This window comes from Homo sapiens, chromosome 18 (assembly GCF_000001405.40).
Source record: "Homo sapiens chromosome 18, GRCh38.p14 Primary Assembly".
Taxonomy (NCBI): domain Eukaryota; kingdom Metazoa; phylum Chordata; class Mammalia; order Primates; family Hominidae; genus Homo; species Homo sapiens.
Genome location: NC_000018.10, coordinates 79,375,440 through 79,387,787, shown reverse-complemented (window position 1 = coordinate 79,387,787; position 12,348 = coordinate 79,375,440). Strand labels below are relative to the sequence as shown.

General features: G+C 56.6%; 1 protein-coding gene across 26 annotated transcripts in view, besides 2 other annotated features; it reads right to left on the bottom strand.

Moving 5' to 3' along the window:
• Positions 6,414 to 6,915: an enhancer, noted in NCBI's record as "H3K4me1 hESC enhancer chr18:77140873-77141374 (GRCh37/hg19 assembly coordinates)". NCBI's record gives its function as "activates a minimal SCP1, AML or CMV promoter by ChIP-STARR-seq in naive and primed H9 embryonic stem cells {active_cell/tissue: H9 hESC(naive and primed)}" and the evidence as "EXISTENCE:reporter gene assay evidence [ECO:0000049][PMID:30033119]".
• Positions 8,385 to 8,935: an enhancer, noted in NCBI's record as "H3K4me1 hESC enhancer chr18:77138853-77139403 (GRCh37/hg19 assembly coordinates)". NCBI's record gives its function as "activates a minimal SCP1, AML or CMV promoter by ChIP-STARR-seq in naive H9 embryonic stem cells {active_cell/tissue: H9 hESC(naive)}" and the evidence as "EXISTENCE:reporter gene assay evidence [ECO:0000049][PMID:30033119]".
• Positions 9,505 to 12,348, bottom strand: part of ATP9B (ATPase phospholipid transporting 9B (putative)) — a 308,890-nt gene continuing 306,046 nt past the window's right edge. For 23 of the 26 annotated variants that reach the window (XM_011525963.3, XM_017025727.2, XM_017025731.2 and 20 more), the window contains one exon: positions 9,505 to 10,541. In XM_011525963.3, the coding sequence (XP_011524265.1) occupies positions 10,405 to 10,541 (137 nt within the window). In that variant the 3' untranslated portion in view covers positions 9,505 to 10,404. Of the gene's footprint in view, positions 10,542 to 11,792; positions 12,075 to 12,348 lie in introns of those variants that run through there. The other 3 variants (NR_148360.2, XM_017025726.2, XM_017025729.2) reach the window with 3 other exon arrangements.

Below are 12,348 nucleotides of genomic sequence, written 5' to 3'. Positions count from 1 at the left end.
AGTTTGGATTCCAGTCCCCGGTACACCTACGGGAGCCAATAGTAACGGCCTTCACCTCTCAGGGTAGATCAATGAGAGGCACCTGCTAATGGCTCAAGACAGCTTAATCATTATTTCAGAACAATGCTGTTGTGAATTGAACTGCCTCCTCCAAAACGATTCATTGAAGTCCCCTGGTCTCTGGGAATGAGACCTAATTTGGTAAGTGACATCTCTACAGTTGTAACTAGTTAAGATGGTGTCAGTTAAGGGGACCCCAATGATGACTGGTGCCCTCACAGGAGGAGAAGACAGACAAAGGGAATGTGGTGAGCCGACAGAGGCAGAGACTGGAATGATGGCTCCACGAGCCAAGGAGCACCTGGGGCTACCACGAGCTGGAAGAGGAAGGGAAGGGACCTCCGTGGCCGGTTCCAGAGGGCACTTGGCCTTGCTGACCCTCGACTGTGCCTTCTGGCCTCCAGAACTGAGGACATGTTTCTGCCATTCAAGCCACCCACTTTGTGGTCATTTGTGATGGCAGCCCCAGGAAACCAACCCAAAGGGCAGTGGTTTTCTTTTTTCTTTTTTTTTTTTTTTTGAGACGGAGTCTCGCTCTGTTGCCCAGGTTGGAGTGCAATGGCACAGTCTCGGCTACTGCAACCTCTGCCTTCCTGGTTCAAGCAGTTCTCCTGCCTCAGCCTCCCGAGTAGCTGAGATTACAGGTGCCCACCATCGCACCTGGCTAATTGTTGTATTTTCAGTAGAGACGGGGTTTCACCATGTTGGTCAGACTGGTCTCGATCTCCTGACCTCGTGATCCACCTGCCTCGGCCTCCCAAAGTGCTGGGATTATAGGCATGAGCCACCGCGCCTGGCCGGGCAGTGTTTTTCATTCCTTCCAGGATACCACACCTGTCACAGTGCGCTGTGGCCTTTCCTACAATGCATGTCCCCTCTCAGGTGGCCTGGCAGCACCCACAGCCTCCACTAAGACGCTCCCTTCCAGGCCAGTGCCCTGACATGGGCGCCATGCTCCTACTGGACAGAGCACTCCCTGTGGGATGACCTTTGCTCGAGGACCTCCACTGCCTGGCCTAAACTCCAGGGGGGTCACGGGAATGTTCCCACTCCCGCCATAGCCCACGCAGGGGCAGAGCCCACCCGAGGCCAGGGAGGTGTGCCTGCTGCTGCCCCACAGCCGCAGGGAATGGCGTTCTCTTCCTCTGAAGCCGGGGCCTGAAGAGTGCCCTCCTGGGGAAGATGTGGACCCCGGGGCTGCCATGGAGACAGGGACTCCAGAGGCCGATTCCATGCCCTGCTTGAGCCCCTGAGTCTAGTGGGACCTGAGAGCCTCCCCTGGGGTCTTCACCTTGGTGAGGAAGCAACTTCCCTTTTCTGCTCAATCGAGTTTAATGTGGATTCTGTCACTTGCACCTGAAGGAGGCCTAATTCACAGGAAGGCCATGGCTGAACAGGGTCCTCGCTTCCTCCATGGGGGTGGGGCCGCAGGGACACAGGCAGATGAAACAGCAACTCTAGCCAGAGGGAAGCTCCCGGTGAGGAGGCCGGGCAAGCCCGGCACAGCTGCTGCAGCCATCTGGGCCTCACACACCACGCTAGGCAAAAAAAAGTCCCCTTTAAACCTCGATTTCTCTTAGAAAGCACAAACAGGGCTGAGCTGACACTCCACTGGTGTGCACGGGGGCGGGGAAAGGATGCCACATGTGTGTCTCAGGGAGACATGACCCCTTCCCTGGCCCTCGAGTGCCAGGGGCCCGGGTCAGCCTGAGGCCAATGAGGACAGCTTCACGGAGATGCAATGGTCCTGCACAGCTGTGTCTTAAGAAGTCAGGAATGTGTGCAAAGCCCAGGGCAGAGGCGCTCTGTGCTTCGGAGCCTCTTCTCTGTTCTGCACTTCGCAGGACAAGCACACCCACCCCGGGTGTGTGCCCCTCTCACAGTGCCGGAGGGCTGAGGCAGGAGGGCCCAGAGCCGCGTCCTGATCCTGCAGGCCTGCTCTTTTTGCTAACGCTGGTCGAGAGGTAAATAAATCACATTTTTAGTTTCTGGCAAGAGTTTGGGTTTGTCCCTGTGAACTCACAATTGTTTTCCTCTTGCAAAATAATAATACTTTTCAAATGGCAATATTCCAACATTTTTCTTTAAACTACTTGGTTTACCCAAATCTGTTTACCCAAATCTGTTTAATTAGGCAGTAACACAAGGCAAGTCATCTCTGCCCCGGCCTTGGGCAGTGAGGCTGCGCTTTCTATTTTCCTTTGTGATGCTCAGCGACTCTCCTTCTGATGCGTGTGCAGAGCATTCCAGACTGTGGGGCGATGAGGCAGGCCCCGGCGGTGTGGCCTGCCGTGGCGGTGTGGCCTGGCCCCGGCGGTGTGGCCTGGCCCCGGCGGTGTGGCCGGCCCCGGCGGTGTGGCCTGGCCCTGGCGGTGTGGCCTCTGGCTGCTCAGCCTCAGGCTCCAGTCCGGGATTCCCATCACCTGCTTGAGGGAACGGAACCTGCCCTAGACAAAGCGTGGGGCTGGACCACAGCCTGGGTTCACTGAGCTTCCCCAACGGTTTCTAAAGTGTTTTGGTTCAATAAAGCTCCAAACAAGTTTTGCCAGGCATTTTTTCCATTAAGTTTTGAACCGGAGTGAGTTTCAAGTGAAGCTTAATCCTGCAATTCTGGCTCATTACGCTTCACTCATCGAGATGCCAGGCTGGGGCCGTCTGGTGCCGGAGAAGATGGGTGCTCTTTATAAACCGGTCAGGGCCTTACTTCTTCTGCGAGACAGGAAGTGGCATCTGCCAAAGTGCGAGGGCACATGAACCCTCAACACCGAGGTGGCCACTGCAGGCCGGGAGCAAGGGTGGGGGTGGGGCTGCGGGTCAGTGCCTGGCAGAGCTGCCCAGCACCTGCACCTGAGGCTCGGCTGGCTCCGTCCCGCTCGGACAGTCCCTTTGGGGTTTAATTGTGGTAAAATAGCCATAACATAAAATTTACCATCTTAGCCATTTTGTAAAGTGCATTCACGTTGTGCAAACATCTCCACCATCCATCTCCAGAGCTTTCTCATCTTCCCAAACTGAAGCTCTGCCCGTGAAACACGGACTTTCCTCCCTCCCAGCCCTGGCCGCCACCTGCTGTCTGTCTCCATGGATCTGACAACTCCGGGGCCTCCAGTGAGTGGACTGGCATGGGGCTTGTCCTCCTGTGCCTGCCGTCTTCAGCTCGGCACGACATCCTCCAGGTACATCTGCAGTGTGGCCCGTGTCTGAATTCCTTCCTTGTTAAGGCTGAGTCACATCCCTGTGGATGGGTTGGGCCCCACTGTGGGTCCCTCCTCTGTCCACGGACACTCGAGTGGCCTTCCCCTTTGGCTGCTGTGAGCACCGGTGGTGGGCAGGCAGCTCTTCCAGCTCTCTGCTTTCTGTTCTCTCTAATGGCGTGGTGACTGTGTGTGTAGCTTCCTGGGGGCTGTGGTCTTTCTGGTGCTCTCCCACACGCCCCTTCTTGGTGGATGGAGCCTGGGGTCCCTGCAGGTGACCCCGCTGGGGTCCCCAGGGTGCCTCAGGGACAAGGAGTGCGTCTCTCCCTCTCTCCTCCTCTCTCTCTCCCCGTGTCTCTCCTGTCTCTCCCTCTCTCTCCCCATCTCTCTCCTGTCTCTGTCCCTCTCTCTCTCCCCACGGCAGGTGTGGTGTCTGGTCACCGCTGAGGGACCTCCCTCACCACTCCTGTGTTCTCAGGTTTTCAGTCCTCACAGGAGGCTGGGGCAGAGGGGAACAGGGTGCCCCCATCTTTGCCATGGGTCTGGCCTAGGCCTGGAGAGTGGGCCTGCCAGGGGGCTGCAGGTCGGGGTGTTCCCTTCTGGGCGGTGTGACTGTCACGGGGCTGCAGAGGTGTGCAGCTGAGTGACCAGCCAGCCTGGACACCTGGGAGCAACACACCTGCAGGTCCCCCGGTGCATGATCTGGGTGGCCGTGAGCTCTGGGCAACCTGCAGTGGGGCGGGCACCTCCTTGTCACTGCTGCTGCGCAGTGCTCCTGAGAACTCGTGTGGGGCTGGAGCTGCAGGCTCTGGGAAGGGCTGCAGGGGATGGCCTGTCTTCCTGAGTCCACACTGAGGGGCGCGTTTCAGAACCCACGGGTGGCCTGTGGACTGGGGCAGGGTCCGGGGAGGGCCTGGAAGAGCCGAGGCAACCGAGCCGGGCCCCAGAGGAGAGGCTGCAGCCCCACGGGTGCAGGTGGGCATGACCCAGGATCAGGATGCCCAGACCAGCCCAGGATGGGCTTTTCCAACACAGACCGTGCTTAGGGTTCCGCATTTCGGGTTCCCTGTGCCCCAGCCCTGCAAGGTCTCCCAGCCCGCACAGCCAGGGAGGCTGGCTTTGGTCCCCAGGCCCCACAGCTCACCTGTTGCCGGCACCTCCCTGCTCAACCGGCCCCATGAGTCAGTGTCAGGGCTGCTGCGGTTCCCTAAGTGCACAACCCCATGGTTCTTAGCCAGGCTGTACTGTTAGCCATGTCTCTGCTGGTTCCCTGGCACAGTTGCCCCCTGCACACCCCCTGCCCCGGCTGGGCCCCCTGCACAGTCCCCACGATGGGTCTGGACTCCCGGTCCTCAGGTCACTGAGAGCTGAGAGCTGAGCGATGACGGCGCAGCCCAGGGCCTGATTCTCTCCCGGCCCACCCTGCTCTCCTCTTACTGCAAGAATTTTCGCAGGGGCCGTGGCTGGCATCAGTCCAGGTGGTTCCTAGAAACAGCCAGTGCCCCTGGTGAGGGGACCGTAGCTGTGACGTCCCCGTACTGGCACCCTGCTCCTGTCCTGTGGACCCGGTTCTCTCTCGTTCTCTCGTCATAGACAGTCACTCCCACCTGGACGGCCCCAGCTGGACAAGCCGAGGCTCAGGTCAAGAGGACACAGGGCAGTGGGACAGAAGAAGGGTGGACAGGAGCAGGGCGGGGTGGCCGGGGAGCCTGGTGCATCCTGGCGGGTCAGCAGGAGAGGAGCAGGGTGAGGTGGCCCGGAAGCCTGGCGCATCCTGGACTGGGCACTCACAGCCCCTGACCACCGGCCCTGCAGGGTCCACACGAGCATCTGTGCCTGGGAGTCAGCATCAACATGTGGCCCAGGACCCCGGTTAACGCACACTGTCTGCATGGGGCTCCCCATTGCCTATGGAAGTGAAGGGGGCAGTCCCAGAGCCCAGAGGTAGTGCATGGACGCCCGAGCTATTTTGGGGAGAACTTGGGAGCTCTCGTAGACTCTCCTCCTCTGGCGGAGTGCTTCCTGTGATCGTGCTGGACGTACAGTGTGGGCACAGGAACAAACCTTCATTTAGAATGGGCAGCATTTTCTCCCCAGCACCTACAGACAGTGAATTTTAGGTTTACAACTTCTGAGGGACTACAACTGGACCCAGTACAGACAAACCGAAATGCAGACAATTAAAAGTGTCCCTGAGGGCAGAGGGCGCCTGCAATGGAAGCTGGTGGTGCAGCTCCTTCTCCTCGCCCGAGCTCTCCTGCACAGCCTGGCCCGGGTCAGCTGCAGGTGGGAGAGGAGGGGCACACTCGGGACTGCCCTCGTTTTGCTCATCTCTTCCTGGGCCCATGGGGGAGGTCAGGAGTCATCCTGCCAGGCCTCACCGCAGCAGGATGCCCCAAGGAAGGAACAGGGTCTACAGGGCCGCGGGTTGCTCTGCACGGGGCTGGCAACGCAGCCTCTGAGGAAAGGTCTCCTCAAGGAAATCAGTGAGAATCATGACATCCCATTACTCCAGGGCAAGAGCCCTGCTGGCTTCCCGCCTTCAAACACAGCCGTGTTTGATCCCAGGGAGAAACTGAGGCAAGCTGTGAGAGGGCCTCTCAGGACAGGAAGAAGGTCTGAGGCTGACTGCTGCTGGGCTTTGCGGTGACGGGGGAACTGGCCACGGCAGACGGTGCCCCTCAGCTGTCCCACACAGTATCCCAGGCAACCCAATGACACCAACAAGTGCTGGGAGCCCAATTTTAAAACGGAGACTTCACCTAAGAATCCAGATTTCTGACTTGCAGCGACGCCTGATCTCAGGGCCTCCCTCTCTTCCTTAACGAGGGGCGAATATTCCAAAGGCCACGTTGTGTCTTTTCCAGGACATGGTCTGTTAGAATCCAAACGATGTCTGTGCTAACCCATCTTTCTAGATCCGGACCCCAACACTTCTGTTCGCATCTTGGGTCACAGCCAGGGCGACGTCCACCCCCAGCGCCGACGAGCTCAGCGCCTGGAGACTTCTGGTCCCAGAACTCTCAGGACCCAGGTAGAGGTGGGGCTGGAGGATTTTTGGATTCCCTTCTAGGCCCACAGGTGCAGGACAATCCATTTTGGAAAATCCTGTCATTAGCAGTAAGCATTTAGGACTCGGCAGAACTGGCAGGAGGACCCCCTTCCTCCTGGGCTTCTGCTTGGCCGTGGTCCCAAGGCCCACCCTAGGGGCCTACTGGCACCTGGGATGGGCGCTGGGAGTTCAGGCTGCCCTGCAGCCCTCTGCGGGGGACACAATTCCCATCCAGACACAAGTAATGCCTCCTCTGTACAAGTGCTCGTGGGACGGTTGGAAACTCTTCAGCTAGAGCAAACTGGCCTTCCTGGGGACGCCGTTTCAGGGATTGCTTGTTGGTGCTCAACAGGACACCATATTCAGAGGAATCCCCAAGCCATCCACTTCTCTAACCCCCAAAATCCGAGCCAGAGCTGGGATGTCCACCCTGGTGGCCTCGCAGGTGCCATTTCGTGGCTTCTGGCTCCCCCTTCTGGAACCGCCTGAAATGACACCCATCTGCAGTGGCAGGACCTGCAGCCCAGCAAGGGGGGCCTGGCGTCCCCTCTGTGGCCCAGGACATATGTGCTGGGGAAGCGGGGTGGGTGGGGGACAGTTTGCTGTGTGAGCTCCGTGGTTTCTGCATGATTTCTGCAACTAACCTGGAAGTCTCCAGGATAAGGCATCTTTGTAAAGAGACACACAGGCCTGAGGGCGGTGCCCACAGGCCGAGTCTGGCCCTGTGCAGTGGACTGGGGGGCTGGGGGTGCTGCTGCTGAGTGGGACCAAGGGGTTTGCTCAGCTGTGCCGGGGGGGCCCTTGGAGGTGCTGACCCCAGCGGAGTCCCCGACCCTAGGGAGGGTGCATCTGGGCCTGCCCATGACCATCACAGAAGGGAGGTAAGGCCAGCTTGTTTGGTCCACTGTCGGGGTCTTGCTACCAGTTTGTCTGCTGGGCCCTCACAGGAGAGGAAGGCACTGGTGGTGGCCATCGGGGGTACAGACTTATGGGCTCCAGGAACGCAGTGCGGCCCTCAAGGCCTGGCCGTCACTGAACTGGAATCGGATGAGACTATGGAAAGCAGTAGCGAATCCTCGCCTGCCTGCCGCCCCTGCTGAGCGGCTGGCACTCTGCTCTCATCACCCCAGAGCACCAGGCCCCAGTCTCGGGTCTGAGCATGAGCTGCTCTGATGACAGGCTTTGCTTGTATCTTCCCGGTCTCGGCTTCAACCTCCCCTTTCCAAGGAGTCTCCCGAGGCTGCGGGCCCTGCTGGTTCTTCCGCAGCACGCACCTTCCTGTGACCAGCTATTCCGGGCCGCGGACAGGACCGTGAGGGTCACGCCTCTACATGTAAACCTAGAAACACGGGGCCAGCGCGGCACTGGACGCTGCCCATGACACGCAGAAGCGAGGAATGGGCTCCTGCTCATGCAGCACCGCCGACTCCACACATGCAGAATGCTCTCCCCAGGCTGGGCGCCCTCCTGAAGGCCTCTGGGGCTGTACGGCCGGCTCAGAATTTCTAGGGCTGACACAGGTCCAGAACCTAAAAAGCGATGAGGTTACGCCGCAAGCAGGTGGAAACACAGCCTCTCCACCCCTCGCCTGACCCGAGCTGGCTCCTGAACTAGAGCTGGAACTAGATCTAATGCCGATCTAATGACCCTTTAGTGGGCTATTATTTTCTTTAGCAGAAAATCCGTGTCACAGACCCCGTTCTGATTGCCTTGCTGCATGCCCGTCGTCTGCTGGGAACGCCCTGTGCATCTCATTTAACCCTCACAGCAGCAGCCCCCGCAGGGGGTGATTTTCGTTTACGGAGGAAAAGACCCCTTCCTCCTCCAGTCTCTACCTGCCCTTAATACATCTCGATTTCTTGAGACAAATCTTCAACTGTCTCCCAATCAGGATCCAACTGATCGAAGGCTGGTCGTTTCTGTATCTGAAAGCTGTACTGCAGTGTTATTCCCAAAGGCTCAGGGGTTCAGCTTTTCTGAGGTTATCGACAATGTTATTATTCTATTAGTCAGTTTCACAGGTGGGTGGTTTACTTTTAAAGGTGCACGGGGGAGCAGCCTCTGATTTGCCCTTGGCCTCCACCCCCGAGGCCTGAGTGTGTGACCCCATCTCCTGAGCTGCTGGCTGTGGACTTAAGATTTCTACCGTCCCAATGCCCCTAACGCAAACTGCTGCGGCAGAAGCGAAAAGACAGGTGAAATCCAAGTCAGCCCCAGCCAGGACGTGACTTCCAGGAGACACCAACTCGGGGCACAGAAGGGAAACTCCCAGGCAGCCTCCGGCAGCGACCAGACGCGCCCACATCACCGAGCGGACGCCAGCGACACCTTGTGGGAGCGCAGGAAATCGCGCCCTCGCAGGGCCGGGCCCGTCCGGAAACTCAGGATGCTCCAGCGCCGACAGATGACGGCAGAGGAATTCCATTCAACAGGCGCTGATGCGGTATCGGGAAGAAAGGCAGCTTGATTGCTCTCTGTGCCTATTTTCTCCTCTGAAAAGCTGCGGGGGAGGGCGGGTGGGTGCTGGGCAGTCCCTCCGCTGGTTGGTGAAACGCCTTCGGAACCCCACGCACACAGCTCCGCCAGCATTTCAGGTGACGGGGCCCACCCTGATGGGAAACGACGCGGAAGAAAATGAACAGGTGAAACTCCTGGCGGAGGCTGCCGCCTGCGTGGAAAATACGGAGAAACTCTCCTTTGAGACAAGAGGCCTGGCGTTTGACCAACTTCTGCTGAGGCCTCCAAGAACAGGCATGGCTGCAGACGACGGCACAACACACCGGTTTCGAGGAACACCCCAGGCACAGGACACAACTGAGAAAACGAACTCCTGGCCCCAAAGACCTTCCCAGCTTCCCAGAAGCGAGGGGTCTGGTTGGGCGACACCATGAATGCAGCGGGGCAGCCGCACAGGCTTTCATCCACCTCAATCGGTGCCTGTTTCCAGCCAAATAAAATAGGAAACCCATGACCAGGCAAGTGGGCCATCTTAGGGGATTTGAGTTTTACAGGACAGCTGATCTCTATATATAGAAATGGTGTTCGAGTGTGATTTTGCAAATAGAAAAAGGATGGGAAGGACACGCATGCTAGCAGCAAAGTCTCTGGGCAATGATTTACATTGGTGGCCGCAATGGAATTGCGTTCGGAAACGCCACTGTTTACGCAACTTGCCTTTAGAGTGTGTGAGAAGAGCTCTTTATGTGAGAACTCAGTAACTTGACTGTTTTTACTGAAAAGCGAAATGCAAGTATAAAGCGAGGGTATCTTCAGCAAAGGGCAGGCTGTGGGGCAGGCCGTCTGTCTGAGTGGGAGCTGCAGCTGATGTGGACACGGGCCTCCGTGGAGCCTCAATTTTATTACATTTGAGTAGGAATGACTTTGTGTTATAACATCAAAGAAAGAATCTGAATATGAGGGAACTGCAGAAATTAAACTTTCAGTCTAATTCTCAGAATGCCAGAGTAAGATGAACCCTTTACAGTAATAGTGAAATAATTCGGGCTCATTTTCAGTAGAAACTCAAGCTGCTTCAATATGGAAATACAATTTTGACAATACAAAAAAAGAAAGAAAAGCAGGGGTGAGGCCCCACACTTAAGAGGAAGAGGCCATCGCAGCATCTGTGCCCTGGGCTTGCCTGGCAGGGGTGACGTTCCCGCACTGAGAGGGAGGGGCCATCCCGGCATCTGTGCCCTGGGCTTGCCTAGCATGGGTGAAGCCTCACACTGAGAGGGAGAGGCCGTCCCGGCCTCTGTGCCCTGGGCTTGCCTGGCAGGGGTGACGTCCCTGCACTGAGAGGGAGAGGCTGTCTCAGCATCTATGCCCTGGGCTTGCCTGGCAGGGGTGAAGCCTCGCACTGAGAGGGAGAAGCCATCCTGGCATCTGTGCCCTGGGCTTGCCTGGCAGGGGTGACGTCCCTGCACTGAGAAGGAGAGGCTGTCTCAGCATCTGTGCCCTGGGCTCGCCTGGCGTACCCTCCCTTTCTTGTGGTGCTTGCTTGGTAGCAATGGCAAACCCTGCGTTCACTGGCAAGGGCACAAGGTGCTGGGAAGGGCAGAAGGTGCTGGGGCCAGCCCGCTGGGGGTGCACAGCCCCTTAGGAGGCCAGCTTGCAGTAGCTGGGAGGAGAGAGCTTGCGCCTCAGGTACTTGAGGACATACAGCGGGAGGCAGCTGACCACGGTGATCGCCGACACTTTCCACAGGAAGGTCACGGTGGTGATAAAGGCAACATCTGTTGGCAGGAAACAGAGAAAAAGGTAAGAGCTGACCAAGAAGTCCTGGGCCCTCATGGCCACAGCCACAGACCTGGCCAGGCCACCAGACGGTCTAAGCTTGCCACGGAAACATCACTGTGCATTTACAGGGGCCCAGCTCCAAATCTCAGGTTTTCTTGACTGCAGAATTGTTTGACCTGCATACCGGGCATAATTCATTCTTCTTTTAATGGAAAAAACAAAACCAAAGCATTATAGATTGCAGGCCGGGCGCAGTGGCTCATGCCTATAATCCCAGCACTTTTGGGAGGCCAAGGCAGACGGATCACTTGAAGTCAGGAGTTCGAGACCATCCTGGCCAACATAGGAAAACCTCATCTCTACAAAAAAGACAACAAAACATTAGCCGGGCGTGGTGGTGGACACCTGTAATCCCAGCTACCGGGGAGGTGGAGACAGGAGAATTGCTTGAACCCGGGAGGTGGAGGGTGCAGTGAGCTCAGATCACGCCACTGCACTCCAGCCTGGGGACAGAGTGAGACTCCATCTCAAAAAAAAAAAAAAAAAGGTTGTAGGCCGGCCATGGTGGCTCACGCCTGTAATCCCAGCACTTTGCGAGGCTGAGGTGGGTGGATCACCTGAGGTCAGGAGTTTGAGACCAGCCTGGCCAACATGGGGAAACCTTGTCTCTACTAAAAATACAAAAATTATCCTGGTGTGGTGGCAGGCACCTGTAATCCCAGCTACTCAGGAGGCTGAGGCAGGAGAATCACTTGAACTCAGGAGGCAGAGGTTGCAGTGAGCCAAGATTGTGCCACTGCACTTCAGCCTGGGTAACAAGAGTGAGACTTCGTCTCAAAAAAAAAAAAAAAAATGGTTGCAGATGACTAATGTCACCAAACACCACTGAATGGGTGGACAACACTCTGTGGCAGAATTTGTGAAGGCACTGAAGTACTAGTTGTGGTGCTTAGGGAAGAGACACCAGCTCACCTAACCTGTGGGATTTGTTTGGACGATCTAGGCTAGCCATTTTTTTGTTTTGTTTTGTGTGTGTGTGTGTGTGTGTGTGTGTGTGTGTGTGTGTGTGTTTCTAAGGTAGAGCTGACTTTATGAGGGGCTGGGGGCAACAGAGGGCAGCTGGCAGTTCCATCTGCAACACAAATACTCAGACCGGTCTGCTCTTAGAGGCTCTGAGCCCGGCCCACCCAGAGAATGTTCTCGCCTGTCACCCTCCCAGCATCTCCACAGAAGAACCATCTACTCACCAGGACCAAGCTGTACTGCTAATGACTAGCTACTTGAATTCCGCATGAAAAGAGGCAGATGAGAAACTGGAGATTTACATACTTCGAATCTACATATAGTGGAAATCCCTTTAGACTGTTGCCGGATGGGATAAAAAGATCTATGGAGCAGAGTTAGAGGCCTTTGTAAAATAAATGACACAGGGAAGCGCTGGATCTCTGTATGAAGGGGAATTCCTAAGTTTGTGTGTACTCATTTTCTGAAGACCCTGGAAGTGTTTTCCAGCAGCTCAGCCCCTACAACTGAAAAGGCAAATATGTTTTAGGGGCTCATGCAATCCTCAGCAGATGGCAGGATGCCCGGCCCCTTCCCCTCACTCAGGGCCACCAAGCCCCTGAACAGGCAAGCCAACAGCACTCAGCCCATGACTAGCCGAGCAAGCACATGGCCACCAGTTTACGTGACATCAGAGAGTTCCTGAGGAACACTGAATTAGAGGAAGGTTTGTTTTTCTTATTAGTTAAGTATCTTTATCAATATTGTTTGGCTAAATTTCTACACTTTTGAAAGAAATGA